The 23,223-nt window shown below is 34.7% G+C and overlaps 1 protein-coding gene and 1 long non-coding RNA gene across 31 annotated transcripts in view; one reads left to right on the top strand and one right to left on the bottom strand.

The window, feature by feature from the left end:
• The window catches only part of EYA4 (EYA transcriptional coactivator and phosphatase 4), a 291,536-nt gene that overhangs the window by 57,710 nt on the left and 210,603 nt on the right, over nt 1-23,223 (bottom strand). For 9 of the 30 annotated variants that reach the window (XR_001743219.3, XR_007059221.1, XM_017010368.3 and 6 more), the window contains 6 exons: nt 17,771-17,863; nt 13,239-13,305; nt 11,942-12,084; nt 11,655-11,798; nt 9,561-9,640; nt 5,670-5,853 (listed from right to left, as the gene is read on the bottom strand). Coding sequence is in view for 27 of the 30 variants with exons in the window: in XM_017010368.3 (XP_016865857.1) it covers nt 5,670-5,853; nt 9,561-9,640; nt 11,655-11,798; nt 11,942-12,084; nt 13,239-13,305; nt 17,771-17,863 (711 nt within the window). In the remaining 3 variants the exon portion in view is untranslated. The remainder of the gene's footprint in view (nt 1-5,669; nt 5,854-9,560; nt 9,641-11,654; nt 11,799-11,941; nt 12,085-13,238; nt 13,306-17,770; nt 17,864-23,223) is intronic. The other 21 variants (XR_001743220.3, XM_047418282.1, XM_047418276.1 and 18 more) reach the window with 5 other exon arrangements.
• Nucleotides 17,814-21,734, top strand: EYA4-AS2 (EYA4 antisense RNA 2). Its single transcript, NR_199014.1, has 3 exons — nt 17,814-17,885; nt 20,757-20,811; nt 21,373-21,734. It is a non-coding gene; the product is annotated as an EYA4 antisense RNA 2 (long non-coding RNA).

The raw sequence follows: 23,223 nt of genomic DNA, 5'->3' as shown, positions 1-23,223 counted from the left end.
TACTCAGAATATCTACCTGCCTGCATTTAATATATTTAATAGGAATAAAATAGCTATTTTCAATACTGATTATTCTAATAAGGAAAGTAACCATCTGTGTTTTTCCTGCAGAGAAGCTTTCTCGTGATTATATGGAAATTGGAGCAAAAGCAACATTTTACACAAAGCTCCACGTAGCATATACCGTATCTGAGTACACAAATGGGTTTCATTCTTGGTAGCTGTAGTCTAGCAAATTAAAAAAACACCCTTTTGGTCTTGTCCATCATTCAGTCTCTGATATCTTGATAATTAAATACTTCTGTGGTTTCACCCTACCTTGTTTTCCTCACACATTCATCATTGAGAAAAACCTTCCACAGGGTGATAAGAGGTCGTGAAATATCTCCTTCCCTGAAGTATCTCCACTGCTTGTTAAGCAAGGATTCTGAAATCATTCATTCTTTGAATGAAAGTAAGATCCTTGATGCAACACAAGTATTGACCCAAAGAGGATCATGACAGATTTGGAACATGTGATTTGGGCTGGGGCTAATGAGTAAGGCGCCTAGGGCACAAAATTTAAGGACCCCAAGAACGAGTTCCACCTTAAATTTTGTGCTCTAGGTGCTTCACTGACCTCACCCTAATCCTGGCCCTGCAAGGGGTACAGATACCCAGGGAGGCTAAGGCTAGCTGAAAAGCCAAAACAGAGAGCCCCAAAGGGACAAGGACCAGAAATTCAAAGGGGCTGTGTGCCCACAGGTAGGAGGATATAAAAGGAAGATAAGGGGAAAAAACTAAAATGTAGGGGCATCAAAGACAAGCTCTATCTACTAGATAATTATTTCTTGGACCCACAGGTAAAGATTATATTCTGAACAGGGAACTAAAAATCATGAATGTTATCATTTCATCAATTCATGATATAAACATATCTTGGCTGTTGCTTAAAATATCAGTTTCATTTTTACTTTATGTCCAAATTAGTTTACTTGTTAATATCCCCCATATGACCTACCATTTTCCCTTTCTCACTATTGTAATTACTTGCTTGATATTTGTCCTGCTTGTCAAATGAAAGCCAAAGGTGGGCAAAGAGCTCATTTACTGCTGAAATATCAGTTTCTAGCACAGTGCTGATGCCTAATATATACTCAATAAATAATCGTTTAATGGCATTGAGTCATCTTGGCCCCACTGGTCCAGTTAGAAAGAGTTTACAGTACTGTGACCATGTTTCCCTATTTTCCCTCCCATCCAAAGCTGAATAAGAAAGAAGTAGAGATGAATTTGGATCTTGCAAATAACTGAAGGCAGAAAAATATACTTGAACAAATTAATGATATTTTAAAAATTTCTTAACCTAATTTTTCTTAGTGAATTTTGACAGTTCTTTATATATTTATATAATTCCTGTATCAGTATGTGTATTATAAATATTTTCTCCAAGTCTATAGCTTGTCTTTTTAAAAGGATGGAGGAAGATCTACCAAGCCAATGGAAAACAAAAAAAGGCAGGGGTTGCAATCCTAGTCTCTGATAAAACAGACTTTAAACCAACAAAGATCAAAAGAGACAAAGAAGGCCATTACATAATGGTAAAGGGATCAATTCAACAAGAGGAGCTAACTATCCTAAATATTTATGCACCCAATACAGGAGCACCCAGATTCATAAAGCAAGTCCTCAGTGACCTACAAAGAGACTTAGACTCCCACACATTAATAATGGGAGACTTTAACACCCCACTGTCAACATTAGACAGATCAACGAGACAGAAAGTCAACAAGGATACCCAGGAATTGAACTCAGCTCTGCACCAAGCAGACCTAATAGACATCTACAGAACTCTCCACCCCAAATCAACAGAATATACATTTTTTTCAGCACCACACCACACCTATTCCAAAATTGACCACATACTTGGAAGTAAAGCTCTCCTCAGCAAATGTAAAAGAACAGAAATTATAACAGACTATCTCTCAGACCACAGTGCAATCAAACTAGAACTCAGGATTAAGAATCTCACTCAAAGCCACTCAACTACATGGAAACTGAACAACCTGCTCCTGAATGACTACTGGGTACATAACGAAATGAAGGCAGAAATAAAGATGTTCTTCGAAACCAACGAGAACAAAGACACCACATACCAGAATCTCTGGGACGCATTCAAAGCAGTGTGTAGAGGGAAATTTATAGCACTAAATGCCTACAAGAGAAAGCAGGAAAGATCCAAAATTGACACCCTAACATCACAATTAAAAGAACTAGAAAAGCAAGAGCAAACACATTCAAAAGCTAGCAGAAGGCAAGAAATAACTAAAATCAGAGCAGAACTGAAGGAAATAGAGACACAAAAAACCCTTCAAAAAAATCAATGAATCCAGGAGCTGGTTTTTTGAAAGGATCAACAAAATTGATAGACCGCTAGCAAGACTAATAAAGAAAAAAAGAGAGAAGAATCAAATAGACACAATAAAAAATGATAAAGGGGATATCACCACCGATCCCACAGAAATACAAACTACCATCAGAGAATACTACAAACACCTCTACGCAAATAAACTAGAAAATCTAGAAGAAATGGATACATTCCTCGACACATACACTCTCCCAAGACTAAACCAGGAAGAAGTTGAATCTCTGAATAGACCAATAACAGGCTCTGAAATTGTGGCAATAATCAATAGTTTACCAACCAAAAAGAGTCCAGGACCAGATGGATTCACAGCCGAATTCTACCAGAGGTACAAGGAGGAACTGGTACCATTCCTTCTGAAACTATTCCAATCAATAGAAAAAGAGGGAATCCTCCCTAACTCATTTTATGAGGCCAGCATCATTCTGATACCAAAGCCGGGCAGAGACACAACCAAAAAAGAGAATTGTAGACCAATATCCTTGATGAACATTGATGCAAAAATCCTCAATAAAATACTGGCAAACCGAATCCAGCAGCACATCAAAAAGCTTATCCACCATGATCAAGTGGGCTTCATCCCTGGGATGCAAGGCTGGTTCAATATACGCAAATCAATAAATGTAATCCAGCATATAAACAGAGCCAAAGACAAAAACCACATGATTATCTCAATAGATGCAGAAAAAGCCTTTGACAAAATTCAACAACCCTTCATGCTAAAAACTCTCAATAAATTAGGTATTGATGGGACGTATCTCAAAATAATAAGAGCTATCTATGACAAACCCATAGCCAATATCATACTGAATGGGCAAAAACTGGAAGCATTCCCTTTGAAAACTGGCACAAGACAGGGATGCCCTCTCTCACCGCTCCTATTCAACATAGTGTTGGAAGTTCTGGCCAGGGCAATCAGGCAGGAGAAGGAAATAAAGGGTATTCAATTAGGAAAAGAGGAAGTCAAATTGTCCCTGTTTGCAGACGACATGATTGTTTATCTAGAGAACCCCATCGTCTCAGCCCAAAATCTCCTTAAGCTGATAAGCAACTTCAGCAAAGTCTCAGGATACAAAATCAATGTACAAAAATCACAAGCATTCTTATACACCAACAACAGACAGACAGAGAGCCAAATCATGGGTGAACTCCCATTCACAATTGCTTCAAAGAGAATAAAATACCTAGGAATCCAACTTACAAGGGATGTGAAGGACCTCTTCAAGGAGAACTACAAACCACTGCTCAATGAAATAAAAGAGGACACAAACAAATGGAAGAACATTCCATGCTCATGGGTAGGAAGAATCAATATCGTGAAAATGGCCATACTGCCCAAGGTAATTTATAGATTCAATGCCATCCCCATCAAGCTACCAATGACTTTCTTCACAGAATTGGAAAAAACTACTTTAAAGTTCATATGGAACCAAAAAAGAGCCCGCATTGCCAAGTCACTCCTAAGCCAAAAGAACAAAGCTGGAGGCATCACGCTACCTGACTTCAAACTATACTACAAGGCTACAGTAACCAAAACAGCATGGTACTGGTACCAAAACAGAGATATAGATCAATGGAACAGAACAGAGCCCTCAGAAATAATGCCGCCTATCTACAACTATCTGATCTTTGACAAACCTGAGAAAAACAAGCAATGGGGAAAGGATTCCCTATTTAATAAATGGTGCTGGGAAAACTGGCTAGCCATATGTAGAAAGCTGAAACTGGATCCCTTCCTTACACCTTATACAAAAATCAATTCAAGATGGATTAAAGATTTAAACGTTAGACCTAAAACCATAAAAACCCTAGAAGAAAACCTAGGCATTACCATTCAGGACATAGGCGTGGGCAAGGACTTCATGTCCAAAACACCAAAAGCAATGGCAACAAAAGCCAACATTGACAAATGGGATCTAATTAAACTAAAGAGCTTCTGCACAGCAAAAGAAACTACCATCAGAGTGAACAGGCAACCTACAACATGGGAGAAAATTTTTGCAACCTACTCATCTGACAAAGGGCTAATATCCAGAATCTACAATGAACTCAAACAAATTTACAAGAAGAAAACAAACAACCCCATCAAAAAGTGGGCGAAGGACATGAACAGACACTTCTCTAATAGTGTCTTTTGAAGAGCAAAAGTTCTTTACAATTTTTTGAAATCTAATTTTATCTGTTCTTTTCTTGTATGAATTGTGTTTTTAATGTCATATCTATAAAATCTTTATGTAGCCCAGGGTCACAAAGATTTCCACCATTTTTTTCTTCTAGAAGTTTTATAGTTTTAGCTTTTTAGATGTAGGCTTACAATCCATTTGGAGTTAATTTTTGCATATAAGTTGAGATCCTTTCCTCTTTTGCATATAGATGTCCAATTGTTCTAGCACCATTTGTTGAAAAAAACTATTCATTCTCTACTCAATTGCCTTTGTATCCTGATTCAAAAATCCATTTTCTAGCATATATATGCATCTGTTTCTGGACTCTCCATTGTGTTTCATTGCTCTATGTGTCTATCCTTTTGCACTCTCTTGATTACTGTACATTATAAGTCTTTAAATCAGGTAATCTGAGTCTTCAAACTTCGTTCTTATTTTTAAAAATAGTTTTGACTATTCTAATTCATCCACCTTTCCTTGTGATTTTAGAATCACCTCAATAATTTCTCCAAAAAGTCCTGGAACTTTTCTTAGGATTATACTGAGTCTCTGTTACATTTGCTTTTAACTTTAAATACTTCAGCTGTGTCAAATTACGTGTCGCAAATGCAATTCAAATACTGCAAGTTTCAGATAATGAAACACACAATGGATTTTAAATACACACTGATCACACAAAGATATTAAACTACCTATCACTGATTCTACAAATCCCAGGAATGTAGGAAATGTTCACGGGCTAGAGCTACTGACAACTTACAAAGGTGAAGGGCTTATGCAGTCTCTTTAGCACAAAAGAAATAATATCAGTCATAAGGAAGATAATATTACAACTTTGTTGCAAGTTCTTCACAAATGAATAATGAGTCTGGCAAAAGCTCCATATTCATATGTACACCATCATTTAGAGATTAAAATCGCCTATCTGTCCCATATCTAAAAGAAGGATCTTCTGAAATGCCAGAAGAGCCTCGTCTTACACAGTCATGCTAACACAGATTAAACATCAGCACAATTATCTGGGAGCTTTCCGCCATGTTTTTGGAATGTCCACTTTCTCCGTTTTATTAGATATTGCAAAACATATAAAAGTATTTCACCTGGGTGAAGATCTGTACCTGGTTGGTTAGTCAGTCCTGGGAGAGATTCCTGCAACTGATAAGTAGAGGTTGAAGAGGGTGTGCCATCGGCTGTGTTATTCGATGTCATATACGCTCCATACGTTGATGCTGAATAATACTGTGCATACTGGTTTTGGCCAAAGGCTGTATAGGATGGATAATCCTGAAACAATAATTGAGATGTGTGTGTTTGAAAGAGAAATTACTCTTTAATACTCTCCCAAGAAAACCAGTCATTATGGTAACTGAAAGATTAGTACTCAGCCCCATTTGTTTCTGAGTCCACAGCTTTGAGGTGATCCTAATGAGCAGAGACTACTTTGTGGGCATTTCTTACAAACATATAGTAGTGAAATACCCTATTGTTTTGGCAAACCAGGTCCAGTACACAAATTTTAATGTGATTAAAGTTAGCATATGCTTCACTTTGCTCCTGATAGTTACTTATTCAAGGATTTACATCATCAGGACCTACGTGTTTGAAGAGGAAAGAAGGAGATGGAATCAGCTCATATTCACAAAATCCGTTCTTACACATCTTCTAACATCACCAGCAAGGAGTTGGGGCTGCCCCTCCTAGACTCCACAGAGACCTCAGTCTGCATTTTTGTGATTTTTGTTCCTTTCTGGGCTACCACTGATAATTCTGTTTTCTTGGCAGGAGGTAAAAAGTAAATAAAAGAAGATGAATATTATTATTTTTTTTTTACCCAGCCTCTCACAAACTACATGCCACCTGAGGCCTTGATTTAAAGTCTTTAGTGAACTTTTCAATGATTTAGTTTCCCTCCTTTGTTACAGAGAAAAATGAAAGCACTGAATCAACACCCCTGACCTGCTTTTTATTTAAAAATTTTAAGAACCTTAAAATGATTCAAAATCCTTTTACACAGTAGGATGATGAGTAAGGATTTGTTGTGATAATTGGTGTTTAAGATATCTAGCATGTGTCAGCCCAAAATGTTATCAGTGATGACAAATCCTTGGTCATCACTGATAACATTAAGATCCCCTGATGAAATGTGTTCCAAAGGAAAAAAGATCTACATTTGATGTGGTTTCCAAAAAATAAAAGAAATAATCTTTATAAGTAAATATGTATATCTTCATAAATGATTAAGTAATATGGCAGAAAACTAAAATTCTATTAGTCTGAAAATTTCAAGATCCAATGTTTCCCACTACTGTAACTTGTGAGCCAAGAACAAAAACCTCATCATATTTAAACAAAGTTCCTACCAATATCTCTCAGAGTAAAACAGTGGTAGCAAATGTTTACATAGTGCTTACTCTGTATCAAAGCACTGTTCTAAGGGCTCAGATATATTTACTCATTTAATCCTTATACTCTCTTATGTGGTCTTAATACTATATTCATTTTACTTTGAAGGGGACTAAGGCACAGAGTGGTTAAGTGATTTGCACAAAGTCACACAGCTAGTAAGTTTCAGAGCTAGAATTTAAACCCAGAGTGCCTAAGTCAAACATCTGTGCTGAAGCTCTCTGTTAGCCTACTAATTCCTGCAGAAGAGGATGAGGTTACATACTGGAAAGGTCCAGGCTATTCCCCACTGGGGAATATAATGTCTTTTCATATTCAAACATATCTCAAAGATCTCACTTTCTTTTCATTTCCACTGTCGCCCCCTTGTCCAAACTACCTTTTCTTCCTGTTGCAGGCAATGTATTCATTTTTAAATTTATCTCCTCGTTTCCATTTCTGACTTTCTCCAAAGACCTTGGTGGCAGAGTTATCGTCTCAAAACATAAATTAAATGATGTAATTTTCTTGCTCAAAATGCTATCATAGCCTCCCACTGGGCTTGGAATAGAATCCAAATTCCTTATTGTAAACCACCAGGCCTTACGTGAGCAGGCCCCCGCCTATCTCTGCAAATGTGCTTCCCCACTTCCCCCTCATGCACTAACTGAACTCCAGCCTTTTTTTTTTTTTTAAGTTCAGTGACACACCAAGTTTTCCATCCATTGGGGATTTGGTACACTCTGCTTTCTTTGCCTGAAACACCACTGCCCTCCTTCTTCACCTAACTCTTAGAAGTCTTGGCCTAAATGTGGTTTCCATAGAGAAGCCTTATATAAAACCTCCCCTATTCAAAATTATATTCAGTTGATGTTTTCGCAGGCCCTGTTCTCTTTCTAATTCTGCATTTATTTGTGTGTTTACTGGTTTATTGTATGTTTGTCCCAGTAGGCTGTAAGCTCTATGAGGCAGGAATCAGATCTGATCTACTCCAGCCCCACCTTCGTGTGCCCCAGTATACAGACCAATTCCTAACACTTTATGGGCACTCAATAGGTATGAGCCAAAACAACAAACTGGTGCTCAGGCCATGGTCCCAAATACAGATTACATTTTACATTGGGATCCACTATATTTAAATCTTCACAGAGAATCAGATCTGTTCTATGATTAACTCTTTTCAAATAAATGCTCTTTTCCTTTACAAATCTTTTCTTAATCCTCCCAAATAGAGGCAGAGCAGTTTTTCCTTTATAGTACAACTCTGCCTAGTGTATATTTCTGTTATTATATTCACTATATCCCATCCCACCCTCTGTCCATCTTATTTTCATATTTGTTTCTTTCGGAGGACTGAATCCTTCTAAAGAGCAGGGAACAATGAGTTACTCGTTTTGAATCTTCAATCCCTAGCCAAAAATCTAACATATAGCAAGTGCTCAATAAATGCTTGCTGGACCAATAAATAAATGCATAAAATCAAGTTACAAAAAAAACCTCAATTTTAAAAAATAAAATGTATACACTGGCTCTGATGTTTAGTGTTTTAAGACATCATTTTCCTAATGCTAAATTACACCGTTTAATCCTATCAAAAATATTATTATTCCACACGATTTTAATGATCAAAATTTCCTTTCTGCCTTTTGTGATATCAATAAAACTAAAATAAAGCAATTGATAAAATTCCTTCAGTAAATCTAAAAAGTAAGCACTTGTACAGTAACTTACATTTTAGAATATATAAGTGTCTAGCAACTATACTAAAGTAAAATAGTGTATTGCCAGACCAGAAGTCAGCCACTAACTCTTCAATCTCAACTACTTCGAACATGGCTGAAAATCAAAAAATAAGGACAAAAGATTTGGAAGTGTCAACATATATCACGAATTCATCTCACTCCGAGCTGATTTACTTATTCAGGGACATTCACTCTTGCTTCATGCATAATTCTAACATGCTAGATTTTAAAACTCACAAAAATATTAAGAAAACATAATTAGAAGGAGGACTAAAGACTACCAGAGGCAGGCACAGTGACAAAAGCAAAAAGTTGCAGCTGTCAGGAAAGTGGGAATCAAACATTTATTAAAAGTATTCATAAAACTAAAAAACAGAAAAATTATTTAAAAGCCAACAGTAGTCTTTGAGGCATTTTGTTTAGTAACAAAGGACACTTTTTAGGACTGAAAATGTTATATAGTCTGTAGTATAATCCTATGACTTATTTTAATCAATTAATATTGATTCAACCAATTAATATTCATTATAATAACTGCTTTATCAAGAAAAATAAAATTGTTCTTAGTATATTTTAAGATAGCAAAATATCCAATACATTTTGTAATTCCATGCCAAATGATTAAAACAACTACAGCATAAATGTTTAAAGCACAAACCTTTAGCAATCAAAAAATCTAAAATAGCCAGAATAATGCATATTCCAAGAATTCTAGATAGCTAATTTTTTACTATCCTGAAATGCTATCATAATTTTTAAATAAAGAAACCTTATTCTGGGAGAGTATGCACATATATGGCAACCTGAGAGTACTCTTCAAAAATCTGAAATACATATAAAAAGCATAAACACAAAAAGCTACTATACCTGTTGTGAACCACTGAAATTCGTTGAATTGGAAACTGAATTATTTGCATAAATAGTAGATGATGGTGCAAAACTAGAACCTAGAGGTAAAAAACAAATTGCATTTTAAAAGTATTCCTTGTAAAATGATAAAGATATTTCACTTTGCAGAATTCTGTGAGAGAAACACTTTGAAATTTGTCGTGAAGACAGTGAAATTTGAAGTTGAGACATTTATACAGAAAATAGGCTTAGCTCTCTCCCTCTTGTAACAGCTGGTAAACCCTTTCCTATTGAATCTGTTGAGCTAAACAGAAGCACATGGGAACAGTCTTCATAAGGAGTGAGGCCAACATTCAAGGGTTAAGAGTCTAGAAGTGCAGGGGTATGCAAAGGATAAAATCTTACACAGACTAAGACTACCTCCAGGAAACTACTGGAACTTTCAAACCATATCAACTGCATTTACATACAAAAAATCACTTGAGTTCAACATTTGTACAGGGTTTTTAGCGTGGGAAATAAACATACAGAACCCCATTTAGCAACTCCTTGTACTTTTGTTCCCTTTGTCTTTTCTTTAGAACAAAAATAGCTGTGAATTAGGGTTCAGACTCAAGGGAGAACTGTTTATGGTACACAAATCTAGGGTTTGAGGGCCTTCTAAAACTTTACTACAAGGTCTGAAATTTAATGATTTCTCAAATCAGGGCAAAAACAAGTGAGCTGCCAATTACAGGTTTCCTAAAAAAAAAGTCCTTATGGAATGTGCTTGTCAAGAAGTAAAATGAAAGGCTATTGAGGTAGCTGATTACTTGTTTTATCAATGTGTTTTGACTAGCAATGTATTATGTAATCAGTGCCACTGACCTGACCTGGAATAACCAGTATGAAAGTATTCGTGAAAAAAAAAAAAATACTGTCTGTCACATGGCTAACTGAAGCTGTATGAATTTTTGTGGCTATAGCATGCTTTCAAATATGTTTCAACCTACATTCTAGGTAAAAAAGAGCACTGCTATTCCAGCTGAACATATCTAAGTAATTATTTCATTTGAATCAATTGACCAAAATGTCATACCAGTTGGTTCAAATATGTTAATATAGCCCCAAATTTGTGATTTGCAGTACAGACAAAATGACAGATAGTAACCAGCTTTTAAAGTTTTTACTATGTCACTAAAATTCTTTTGGCAACTATTGCATTAAGATAAAACACAGCTAGGCATGGTGGCTCACGCCTGTAATCCCAGTACTTTGGGAGGCCGTGGCGGGCGGGTCACCTGAGATCAGGAGTTTGAGACCAGCCTGATCAACATGGTGAAACCCCGTCACTACTAAAAATACAAAAATTAGCTGGGTGTGGTGGTGCACACCTGTAATCCCAGCTACTCAGGAGGCTGAGGCAGGAGAATCGCTTGAACCCAGGAGGTGGAGGTTGCAAGTTAGCCAAGATCATGCCATTGCACTCCAGCCTGGGCAACAGAGCGAGACTGCATCTCAGAAAAAAAAAAAAAAAAAAAAAGATAAAACACAATTTTAATAGGAGTCTAAAATTTAAAAAAATTTAATGATCCTATATGCCTATATGGAGGATTGGAGAGTAAATATTATATAACAGTCCTATTAAGCAATATAGTATCAATAGGAGAGAGGAATTTTAGGAATGAACAAAAAATCCTCAACTGGTCAATAATATATGGAACTTAGAAAAGAGTTAATTCAAGTTTAAGTATAATCAAAACAGCATTACATACTTCAGGAAGAGTGAAAAGAAAATACTGGTTTGTGCTACAGATCTTTTAAATTGCTTAAGTAGACGCCAAATGTGTGGCTGACCTGGTGTCTGGCTTGGGAGTTGCTTTGCTTGGACTTGGTTTCCTGCTGATGTTACGCAGCTTAAACTTAAGTATTTAAGTTTGGTATAGGTCATGTTTCCTGACGTATACTCAACCATTTCATCGTGTTTCTGTCTAGTTATCTTTCTTTAGAAATTGTGTGAGCTGTGATAAAGCTTAAAACTACCTTCATGATTGGATATTCCTAGTCTGAAGCCAATGAGTCTCACTCAAAGAATTAGTTCTCCCAAAACATGTTTCATGTGTAGCTACTTACCTGGCATTTGGTAAGAATAAGGTGTCTGGCCTGGCTGTGGGGTAGAGAACCCTGGGCTGTAACTGAGGCAGCCACTCTGTAATGGGGACTGAGTTTGGGAAAGTCCACTCTCTGTCTTGATGGCTGGCAACATCACACCCAAATCTGTTCAGAAAATTGAATGTGTAAACCATTTAATTAGTAAGATGATTTTCCTTCTAAGTTGTAACCTACAATAGAATACAAAGCTACCAGCCAGCAGGATTACCTGCCTATAACCAAAGAAGAAAACAGAAGATGTGAAATACCGTAAGTGGGCAAGCTGTAGGGCTGTCCTGTCTGTGAGTAGGCTGTGTAGACGGCTGGCTGCTGCATCCCCGAATACTGAGTCTGGCCTGCATAGGCAGACATTGTTTGAGCTGCTGGTGTAGAAAGAATGTGTGGATAGGGCCTAAATATCAGAAAAATAGCATTACTGTGGCAACAAAGACTGTGTATTAATTTAGACAGCCTAGATTCAGTGAAACCCTATAATATCCAGGAAGTAATCCTCTTTATCCACAATATAATTTTAACAATATAGGAAAAAGCAACAGTCTGAATGTCAGGAGCTCAGGCTCTGCTACAAGCCAATCTAGTGACCATAGACAAATGATTTAAACTCCCTATGTCTATACCACACCTGTAAAAGTAGAAATTTGATTTAGATTTTACACCTGTGTCTCTTCCAGGTCTACAATTCTTGCTCATATCTGAAATAGCACTCCAGTTAATACACAGATGAGGAAAATGGAGCACACACTAGCTAATTAATATGCTCATGAGCAAATTCACACTCACCATGAGTGACTTAATGCTATGCAAAGACTATGGAAGTCTATTTAAAAGCCCTACTAAGAATTCGCTCCCAAGAATTGGAAATTTAAAAAAAGAAAAAGAAAGGTAGGAAGCTTCCTTAAAAAAAAAAAAAAAAAAGGAACATCATTCCTTTCATCATGCCACATTTTACATCATGTTCCCCATTGGATATCCAACCTTCAGTCTATATATATGTAAAGGCAGACACTCTAGATGCTGCAGAAAATAACATACTATATTTAAATGTGTATGTATCAGCAATACAAAATCTTGGCACGTCTGGCTGATTCCAAACCAATTCAGATATACACCCAATATAGTTAAACTTAAGAAATATCTACCACTGTCCTCAATAAAGTGACTATATTAGTTATAAAAACAATAAGGCATATTCTTCAAAAATATGTTTATTAGAACTGGAAATCCAACAAAAGAATTTCAATGATGGAATTAATTATGAAGTGTTGACATTTAGATAAAATGTAATCTCTTTAGATTTTTTAACCAGCCAGCATTTTTGAATTTGAATTAAAATGCAATGTATTCTAATTTGAGCTTGATATTTTTCTCAAGGTATACATAAATATTCAAGGGAATCATCAAGATACATGTGGGTGTCTCCATTTCAAATTTGTACAGGATATTTATCTATATATGTAATCTATCCAAGTATTATCCAACCATCTATAAAACATGTATAGACATAAATGTTTGCCAATTTAAAGCAAGAATCTACTGACCACTTACTTGGAAGGATACAGCTGTGGGGAATACTGATGTGCTGATCTGGGGCTGTAGCCACTACTTGTAATTACTGTAAGACACAAAAATACCAGTGCACCAAAGGTTGCTTCATAAATACATTTCACTAGAGTGTACATAACCAATTTGAAGAAATTACCATGTTAAATACATGTTTCCAGAAATTCATTTTCTAAAAGGAAACAGCTGCCTAAACACTTTCTCCTAATTAAACTGCTTTGAGTTTTGTGCAAAAAGCATGAAATAAACATTTGTCTCACAAATCATTCCCTCTGTCATTCTTCCAGTTTCTCAAATCATTAGCATGCTCTTATATATTAATATGCTATGAATAAATATCTTTGATTATAGGGTAATTAAGCTTTCAAAATATAAAAGTAAATTTTTAAAATTTGCAAACTTTACATTTTAAAATACCAAATATGATGGCAATATATACATATTGCTCTTCCTCCATATCTGTTCTAATTCAAATACAATACAAAATAAGACTGTGATGTTCCAAACTTCATTTTCTAATGGTAAAATACTATTTTATTCTATTTCCTCTCATTTTACCCATCAGATGAACAATTAAAAAATGCAGTCTAAAATATTCCAGTAATAATTAAAGAAAGTGCAGGTGATTTCTTTAAAACATAATCACAAAATGCAGTAGCAATTACATTTACAAATATACTTTGAACTATTAGAGATAATACTTTTCTGAGAAGAACTTAAAGGTGAAAGTGAGGTCCTATTAACAGTTCATCCAAACATGGAGCCCCAAACTGGAATATATCCAATAGCTTGGAAGTTTCTCTTTCCTTTAACTATCTGCCTTGACTAAGACAGATGTTTTGCAAATATATGGACTCTAAAGTGTGAGCCAGTTCCCTTAGAGCCAATCCACACTGAGCGAGCACACAGAGTGTCTTTATTAGGCCATCTGCTGTTCATTCACTTTTCAAAAAGATTAAAGTAGTACACAATGCAGTGCTGGAATTAGTTTAGTCTAATCAATCATAGTTATACTTCAAAGTACTATGTCCTTTCTGAGTTGTTCATAATAATTCTGGAGCGAAACTTTTAGAATTGTAAAAGTGACAAATAGGTTTAGGTTGCTAACTATTTTATGAAACATGATATATTTCTATATATATCACAAGAACCCTTGTGATCTGCTTCACAAACATGCATCATTTAATGTGTTTAAAATGCTATTTTGCCTATAAGCTCTGAATATGGAAAGAATATTTTCATTTTCATAGCGATAATGAAGTAAGTATATTTTTAAGAATATTATCAGTCAATTTTGAAAATCATCAAATTTGACTAAAGGTGTTACTTCTAAATATTTTCAGCAACCAGAATTTAACTGAATTTGATACGTATCGTTGAAAATAAATTGACCAATAAACTATTACTTTTCTACATATTTATCAAAACTTAAAGAACGTTTTAAATTTTCAAATCAACTTAATGAAAACAGACTCTTTGTTCTACTACACAATGGACATTAAATGTGCACTTCATAATAGTAGTGTTATTCCAAAGATATTCATTCTAATTTATCGATTAACAATACCAAATACTCTAACAGAAATATAGTTAAATGACGCTTGATTAAATATTCTTTCGTCTCTTCTTTACAGAATTTCTCCTTGGTACACTCAAGACTTGGGCTATACTCATCAGTTATTATCAATATTGTGAAATAGAAGGCTTTTCCAAAGAGACGCTGAATCATGAAGATAAATATTCATTATAGTAACCTTTTATAAATAAGACATAGACCAAAATTACACATTTCAGAAAAAACTCATATACATGAACTCAATTCTGAATATATAGGATGTTTCTTCTAATGATAAATCTAAACATCATTAGAATAATGTACTCACAACACTATAAAGCCTCAACTAACCTTTACAAATTTCTATTAACGTCTATATGTTCATTTTCTAAATAGAACAGAAAACCTTTGGCTCAGAAAACTACGATGTTCACGTAGGAAAGTTTATGCTTCTTTACTAAAATATATACATTTTGTTCTAATTCAGAAATTTGCAGATAACTGAAAAGAACAACAAAATTGGATTAAAGTGAGTGGAAATTTTGCAGATCAAAGTAAAGACTGCTCCCACAAAGGGCAGCCTCATTTCCAGAATGGTTTCTGGAATATCTTGTACAAACTTGAAAGAATTTCGTTTTATTCCCCACTGTCATCTGATTAATCATAAACATTACCCAAAACACTCATTACATTCCATCATTTCTGCATACAACAGTAAGCAAAACTGCTTGTTTTCAAAATGCCCTGAAAATTAATTTAAATACATGTTTAATATCTATTGTCAGTTTCTCTGATGGTGTCAAAGCAATTTTAAGGTTTCATTCTCATTATCGTGCCATCTTAGATTGGTGACTCTCAATGGGATGAGAAGTGGGTGGGGGTGAGAATTTTGCCTGCCAGGGGACACTTAAACAGTCTGGATACATTTTTGGTTGTCTTTAGTAAGACATCTTTGGTTGCTTCTTTAGTAAAGAAGCATCTGGGGGAGTGCTGCTGGCATTCTGGGATAGATGCAGCCAAACATCTTACAGTGCAGAGGATAGCTTTCCCACACTAAAGAATTAGCCCAAGTCTTTAACAGTGCTGATGTTGATAATCCCTGCCCTGGATCACTGCTGTGGAATAAAACTTTCCACAGTGTTGGAAATGTTCTGTATCTGAGCTGTCCAATATGGTAGCTGCTAACCACATGCAGCTGTTAAACACTTGAAATGTGTTTAAACTTGAAAATTCAGTTAAATTTTGGTTGCTGAAAATATTGAGAACTTAACGCCTCTAGTCGTACTTGATGATTTTCAAAATCAATTAATAAAAATATACTTACTGCAATATTGCTGTGAAAATGAAAATAAAAAACAAAATTTTTAATTTTATCAAATTTTAATAACCACATATGACTGGTGGCTACCTTACTGGACAGCACGTCCCTAGATACTTCTTTAAAAATTTGCGAAAATATCTACAAAGACAATATGAGTGAATTTCAGACAGGATGATTGTTCATGCCTATTTCTTTTTCCATCTATTTTCTGATGGGGCATTACAGAAAGGACCCAGGGACTGATCATAAGGACATGGTTTTAGATTTGTTTATACCACTGACCAGCTGTGAGGCCTTGACTGTATGGCCTTAACCACTTTTAACTTCTCTTGTCTACAAAACGGATCAGAGAGCTCTGAAATTCCTTCTGGAGCTAACACTTTATAGTTTTGTCATTCAGCTTTCAATTAACTTGTAGTATACTACTGAAGTAGGTCAGCAATAAGTTAATAACTCCATTCCTTTCCTTAACAATTTGTTCATATAGATTTATTTTGCAGAAAGTTTACAAAAGCTATGGTAAGTGTGCAATACAGAATACTGAACTGGTAACTATCTCCTGAGAGGCAGGTAAACTGCTAGAAAAGATGTGGATTAGTACATATGAGTCTCTGTGCAAAGTTTATGTACTATTATTTCTTTCTTGGAGTACTAATATTTATGTAAATATATGGCAACTGCTTCTAATCGGTGTGAACTAGTGAAATTAGATCATCTGTAAAAATCAAATATATGCTATAATGACATAATACTCTAAGACATATCTCAACTATTTTTACACAAAACATACTGACAAAAAAATCCTTATAACATGAGCACATGGATAAATGTAAAATGTATTAAAGTAGAATAACAGAACCGAGATTCAATTACCACAAATACTTTCCTAGGTTTAATGTTCTTCTTTCTGATGTACCCGATCCTCCTCAGGTTAGAAAAATCCTTTCACCAGATAAAAAGCCGAAGAAATATTGTAACTTAAAAAAATTTAATTAAGTCTACTTAATTCATGCCCTTTGTGCCCAGCTGGGAGTTATCAGGTATTTATATTTTAAAGGGATTGATGTTTAAAGACATGCTATTGTTCTCTTTGAAGCATTCGAGCGCTCTCAGAGGCTGGGTTCTAATGCAACCAGCATGTGCTCTCCTGCAGCCCATTAACCTTTAATACTTGTCACTCAGCTGCTTACACAGGAGGAGTTTTTTAAACCCAGAGAGGAAACAAGGTTATTTAGAAGGAATCAAATGGATAGTTTTACATCTCGAATGTTAAACAGAAGGCAGTTTTTATGTAATTCAAATGGGTAAGTTGAAGAAGCAAGGTCAGCTACTACAACTTAATTATTAAATTAATTAAACATCGTATAAAATAATTTTGAAGGAAGTTAAGTTTACTTATCCATAATAAGAAAGTCATGGGACTTTTGCTGTCAACTAAAATATCAAGCGAAATTATTCTAAATATAATTTATAACAATGCATACTGCTATGACTATGAGTTCTCAAAAAATAAGAATTTGTTTCTAACTTTATAAGGATCAAAGTTCTAAGAGCTTGGATGCTTATGTTGCTTATTCCCGAGGAGGAGGATGTGGATGCACCCCCATGTGTACGTAAGGACACACGAGCTAAAGGCTTTACCTGACCCAGTAAAAGTGTCAAGCGCTCCATCTCCAGTCGTGGCTGTGGTTTCACTGCTGTTCAAGGGCTCTGTTTTGACTGCAAGAAGAGACACTACGTAGAAGAATAAGTACATGTGAGTTTTACTTCTAAATTTATGTCAAAGACTCTGTCCGTTCTACTAGTGATATTTCTAGCTACCATGGGCATGCAAGAGAAAACCTGAGAAGTTGATGAAGAGAGTTTGTTAATTTAGCTTCTAAACGGGCATGCATTTAGAGGATTTAATCTAAAATCCTCTGGCCAAGCTAGTTCTCTCAAATCCAGCTTTTAAAGGCAGTCAGCCTTAAAAAGTGAAACAGCAGTACACATATTTGTATTTTTAATTCACCTAAACACACTCTCATATAGTCAATAGGAAAGAAGGAATCATCATCAGTCTTCAGCACATTTAATTAAAATTATACCAAAGAAATTTACTAGCTTATATTTTATTTTTCCCAGGAAGATATTTTTTAAGTTTGCATAATAATACAATGGAGACATATAAAAGTATAGAAACCATGGGCTCATTCACACAATGAATGAAAAATGAAGCACTCAATGAAGCTCTAAAAAAGACTCACGAGCTATAAGGTGTTGGGCTTCATACTTTAATGGCATAACAATTTTTAATATGTTTAGAGATAAGCGTAGAAAAAGAGATGACTTCTACAGCAGCAAGTACACCTTTTGAAAACTCATTTTAATATGTTATTTCTACGTGGTAATGGTGTATTTTGGCAAAATCTTTGCTTGGTAACAAAGTGGCCTAGTACACATTATTATCATTATTAGATGCAACAAGGGTGATGGGGCGTGAGAATAAAGTTTTACCCATTTGGTCACACCATATTTTCCCTTTGTTGGCAAGGCTTTACTACATATATCATAGCAGCAAGGAAATAAACTAAGCTATTTTCTACTTAACACCTCTTGTGTTTCCTGGTCATAAGTGAAATGAATGATACAGTTAAATAACTTAGAAGCAAGCAGAAAATTATAAAGAAGAAAGCTGAAGACTAGCCAAAGGACAAAAAAGAACAGTCAGTCATAGGGTACCCACCAATCACACAAGTCAGTAATGTTATTCTGTTAGAAAAGAAATTAATTGATAGAAAACCATGCGGTAATGATTATGCTCTTTTCCACATGAACAGAATTAACCAGACCTTCAGTGAGCTCTGGGTTAATTTAGTATCCATTATTTATTAATGACATGATCAGCTGGAAGATTCAGAGGAGAAATGTAAATGTTGGAAACAGAAAGTAAAGAAACTTGGATTACTTTTCTTAGCAAAAAAGCAAACTCAAGTTTGACTTATCTTTCAAGAGCAACAATGATCTGAAGAGTAGTCTAATTATTTATATAATGATAAATAATGAATTGGTGGTTATTACTTTTCAGTAGTAATTTGCACAGTAATCCCTATTATGGTTATACCTTATCAATAACTAAACCTATCATTATAAAATCATTTTATCACCTTTATATTTACTACTATAAAACTAATACTTATTGAGAGCTTGCTACGTGCTAGATGATGTACATTTAGCTAATCCTTAAAACAACTCTAATTAATACAAATCACTATAACCATTTTATAGACAAGGAAACTGAAGTTCAGGGGGGCTGAAAAGCCTGCATAAGTTCCAGTGCAGGAGACGGTAGAGCTAAGATTTGAACTCAGGTTTTTAGCTCTAGTATGCAGGATCTTTCCACCGTATCAGGCTGCCTTCAGGTACGAAAATAGCTTATGCTCATGACAGTGTCTCTTCTCAAAGGCCCAAAGCATGATGAGAATGCAATTATCTCCTAGATAGAATAATTAAAAATACTTCACTGAAAATAAAAACTGCAAAATACTGGAATAGGATACTAAGGCATGTTTCCCATTTCTTCCTCATGGGATATTTTAAAAGACATCAAGAAGTAGCAAATTTGAAATTAGGTAACAGTAACAGCACACCCTTAAAATGAACTTGATACATTCCAGGCACTTCTCTTGTCCTTTACACCTACTGATTTACTCCTCTCAACAGTCAGTAGATAATATCATCATCTTTATTTTTCAGATAAGGAAACTGAGGCACAAAAAGGTTAAATAACGTCCCCAGTCACAAAGCTTGTAAGAGCTAGAATTTGAGACCAAGTAGTGTGTGTTCAGAATCCAAACTCTTAAACCATACTGCCTCTCAGGCAGCACTAGCTAATCAAGAATTCCTTTTGTCTGTATGAAGATAATGCAGAGTATAATCTAGATGGGTATCAAGGCTACTCCATTTCACGCAATGTTTACAATTGAGTTCTAACATTTATGACAAAAAGTCATGGCCCAAAGCCTTCAGCAAAACTAAGAAACAGTTTATCAGAGCTTCTGACTTCTACTTGCAGCTAAATTCCTATTTATGCATATCTATATCTACGAACAATATTTGCAAAAGTAGCTTTATTATACTAATTGTAATATAGATTTTACTTGCGAATGGAGGTGGCAGAATGTGAGCTGTGTCTAACGAAACTGGTCTAGAAGCCAGACATGAAGATTAGTTTTGTTACTTTGAATTTCAACTTTGAGACCCAATTTCAAAAGCTTAGTATTGATTTTGATTATAATCTCTTCAATTTGAAAGTTTGGGGAGGTCAAAAGGAGAAAGAAGAAGGAGAGAGTGAGTTTTTGGTCTAATTCATTATACTGGAAACATCTCTCATTAAAATTTTAAAGGTTTGCTTTTAGTCAAAGATAGACAAAGGAAGTTCATTTTACTGAGAAAAGCCATCCCTGGGAAAGTATATGAAGAGAGGAGTAACAAGCAAGATGTGTTAGCTTTACTAAAATGCCTGAATTTTAAAGTAATGGATGCTAACATTTGAGGGGAAGTGGTACATGTTAATGTAAAATTGTTTTTCCTATGCAAGGGTAGAACAAAATGGAAAAGTAGAAATAAAACATTTATTCTGTCACAGAAAATAAGCTGCATTCATACTAAGTGAGCATCAACAAGCACCTCTTGATCTCTAAGTAAGTCCCAAAGTTATTTTGGTTTGATTTTTCTAAATAAAAAGCAGTAATATTAGGTAATAATAAACAACTATTTTTTCAGCAGTAGAAAGCTCAAATAGAGAAGTGAATAGACACTCCTTATATTATTAGCTGATTTATTAAGACATGTTAGAATACGAAGAAGTATTATCTTGATATTTATATAACAGTTAACTAGTATAAAGTAAACATTATATAATAATTATAGATAAAGCTTGGAAAACAACGTTATTTTCACTGAAGCTAGAAATATATTTGAAATGTATTCTTTTTTCTTTTATCTTGCTTTTGTTTCTGCACTTTAAATTACACCTACTATATACTTTTCTAGTGGCAGGAAACTTTCATTAAATATATGCAAGACACTATTGGAAAAATGTTCATTAGTAAGACAAATCTAGTCTTATTACTACTAACTTGTAAAAATCCTTATTCCAAATAATTATCAGTGCCTATTCCTTGACTGTTCAAATGTATGTTAAGCTATATTTTGTCTTTCTTAAATTAACATGAAGTTTAAATGGGGCTTTTAATTTTCAGGACAGCAAACCAAAATCATTACATGCAATAAAATGGAAGCAAAATCCTTTTATAGAAGACAAGCACCGTATTTCTCAACCAAATGCAAGCTTACACACCAAATGTTTTGATTTCAAAAGAAACAATATTTTAATGTCCTAGGTTGAAGAGTTTTGTGGGATTATTATTCTGTATCTTCAAAGTAAGTGAGTCAGAGCTCGTTTTGCTAAAAGTGGCATAAAATTACTTTCTATACCACTTTGTCGAGAACCGTTAAGAAATCCTTGTACTGTCAGGTCCCCCTCCCCACTAGTTAGCTACTTGCAATTTGGATGTTTCTGATAGAGTCAAATGGTAAAAATAAATAAACATACATGATTGGCTTTTCCATTTTTTTAGCTTTAAAAATAATTCTTATCTATAGACTAAATCAAGGTCATACATAATTATTGTCAGGTACCAGTAATGGCTACTAAATCACAGATTTCCTGTCTTCACATCCCAACCTTCATCCCTACTGCCATACACTTATTTTTAAAGCAGTCTTACTCTTGTCCCCTTAAATTGTCTTTAGAAGTTAAGTATAACATTAATGTCGATTAATTACTTTTAGAGAAAGTCTGTTTTATTATCATAACTCAAAGTTCATATTCATATGTTGCAATTCAGGCTTCATCCTCGAAAGGTAACCCACATAATTTACATTTACATTTCATCTTCATAAATCAGTGTAGTTTAAACATAGATTAAGGTGTGTGTGCACCAGTTTAAGGTGTCCATTTAAAAAACTACATATATGTAATTCCACATACACTTCTTTCTGAACCACAAAAATCACATATAGAGGCTTTTGACAGCTTAGTTTCTACAAAGAATTTCAGAAAGAGTTAGATCAGGAAAGTTACAATTTATAACACTGCAGGGAAGCAGTAAAAGTATTGCCTACTGGTTTTAATAATCAGTATAGCCTATGATTTATGCTTGTTTGGATCAATATATTCATTCAAAAACCTATGATTACCAAGTGTCTTTCATTCCTAACTACCCATAAAGTATTTAATTTTGTAAAATAATTTGATGAAGCCATTTATGACTTTTATTCTAAAAAAAAATCTACAAAAGAGCTGACCCACAGCAGTAGGTAGCTCTATTGCACAAATACTAATTCATTATATGTGAGTCAATCATCTCTACAGTAAAAATTCTAGAAGATTCTTTTCTATATCGATTTCAAATATAGAAAAAAACACTAAAGCTGATCAGAATGTCTGATTTCTATTCCCCCAAACCTTTTCTTTGAAGTTGTTTCTTAATCTCCATGTAGAATCAAATATTCCCTCCCTCCACTGTTCATCCACCTTGAACATATTATGGCATTCATTATTTTCATGTCTGCCTCCCTCTGCTAGACTTTTGGTTCCTGGATGGCTGGTATTGTGTTCTTTAGGTCACTGGGTTCCCATTTCCTGGCATAGAACTTGGCATATAATAGGAACTTGATACATTTCAATTAAGTGAGAAAGTGAAAATTTACTCTTTTAGATACTGCCCTAGCCCTCCCAATAGATCTAAGTATTTTTGTATATGAAGTGTAGTTCATCATGAATCCTGACACCATTCAGCAAATTAGAATCTGGAATTACCTATATCTGGAAGTAAATTTTCATATAATTGGCATGCATTCTTATATGTACAACATAACTTATGTATACACATATAGATCTATATCAGGAGTTGGGCCAAATCTGACCCATGGCCTGTTTCTGTATGGTTTTAAGCTAAGAATGGTTTTTACCTTTTTAAGTGGCTGAAAAATATCAAAAGGAGAATATTTTGTGACATGAACATTTTAATGAAATTCAAATTTCAGTG

Source organism: Homo sapiens, chromosome 6, assembly GCF_000001405.40.
Source record: "Homo sapiens chromosome 6, GRCh38.p14 Primary Assembly".
Lineage (NCBI taxonomy): Eukaryota > Metazoa > Chordata > Mammalia > Primates > Hominidae > Homo > Homo sapiens.
Note: the sequence above shows the minus strand (reverse complement) of the source record. Positions and strands in the feature narration are given on the sequence as shown.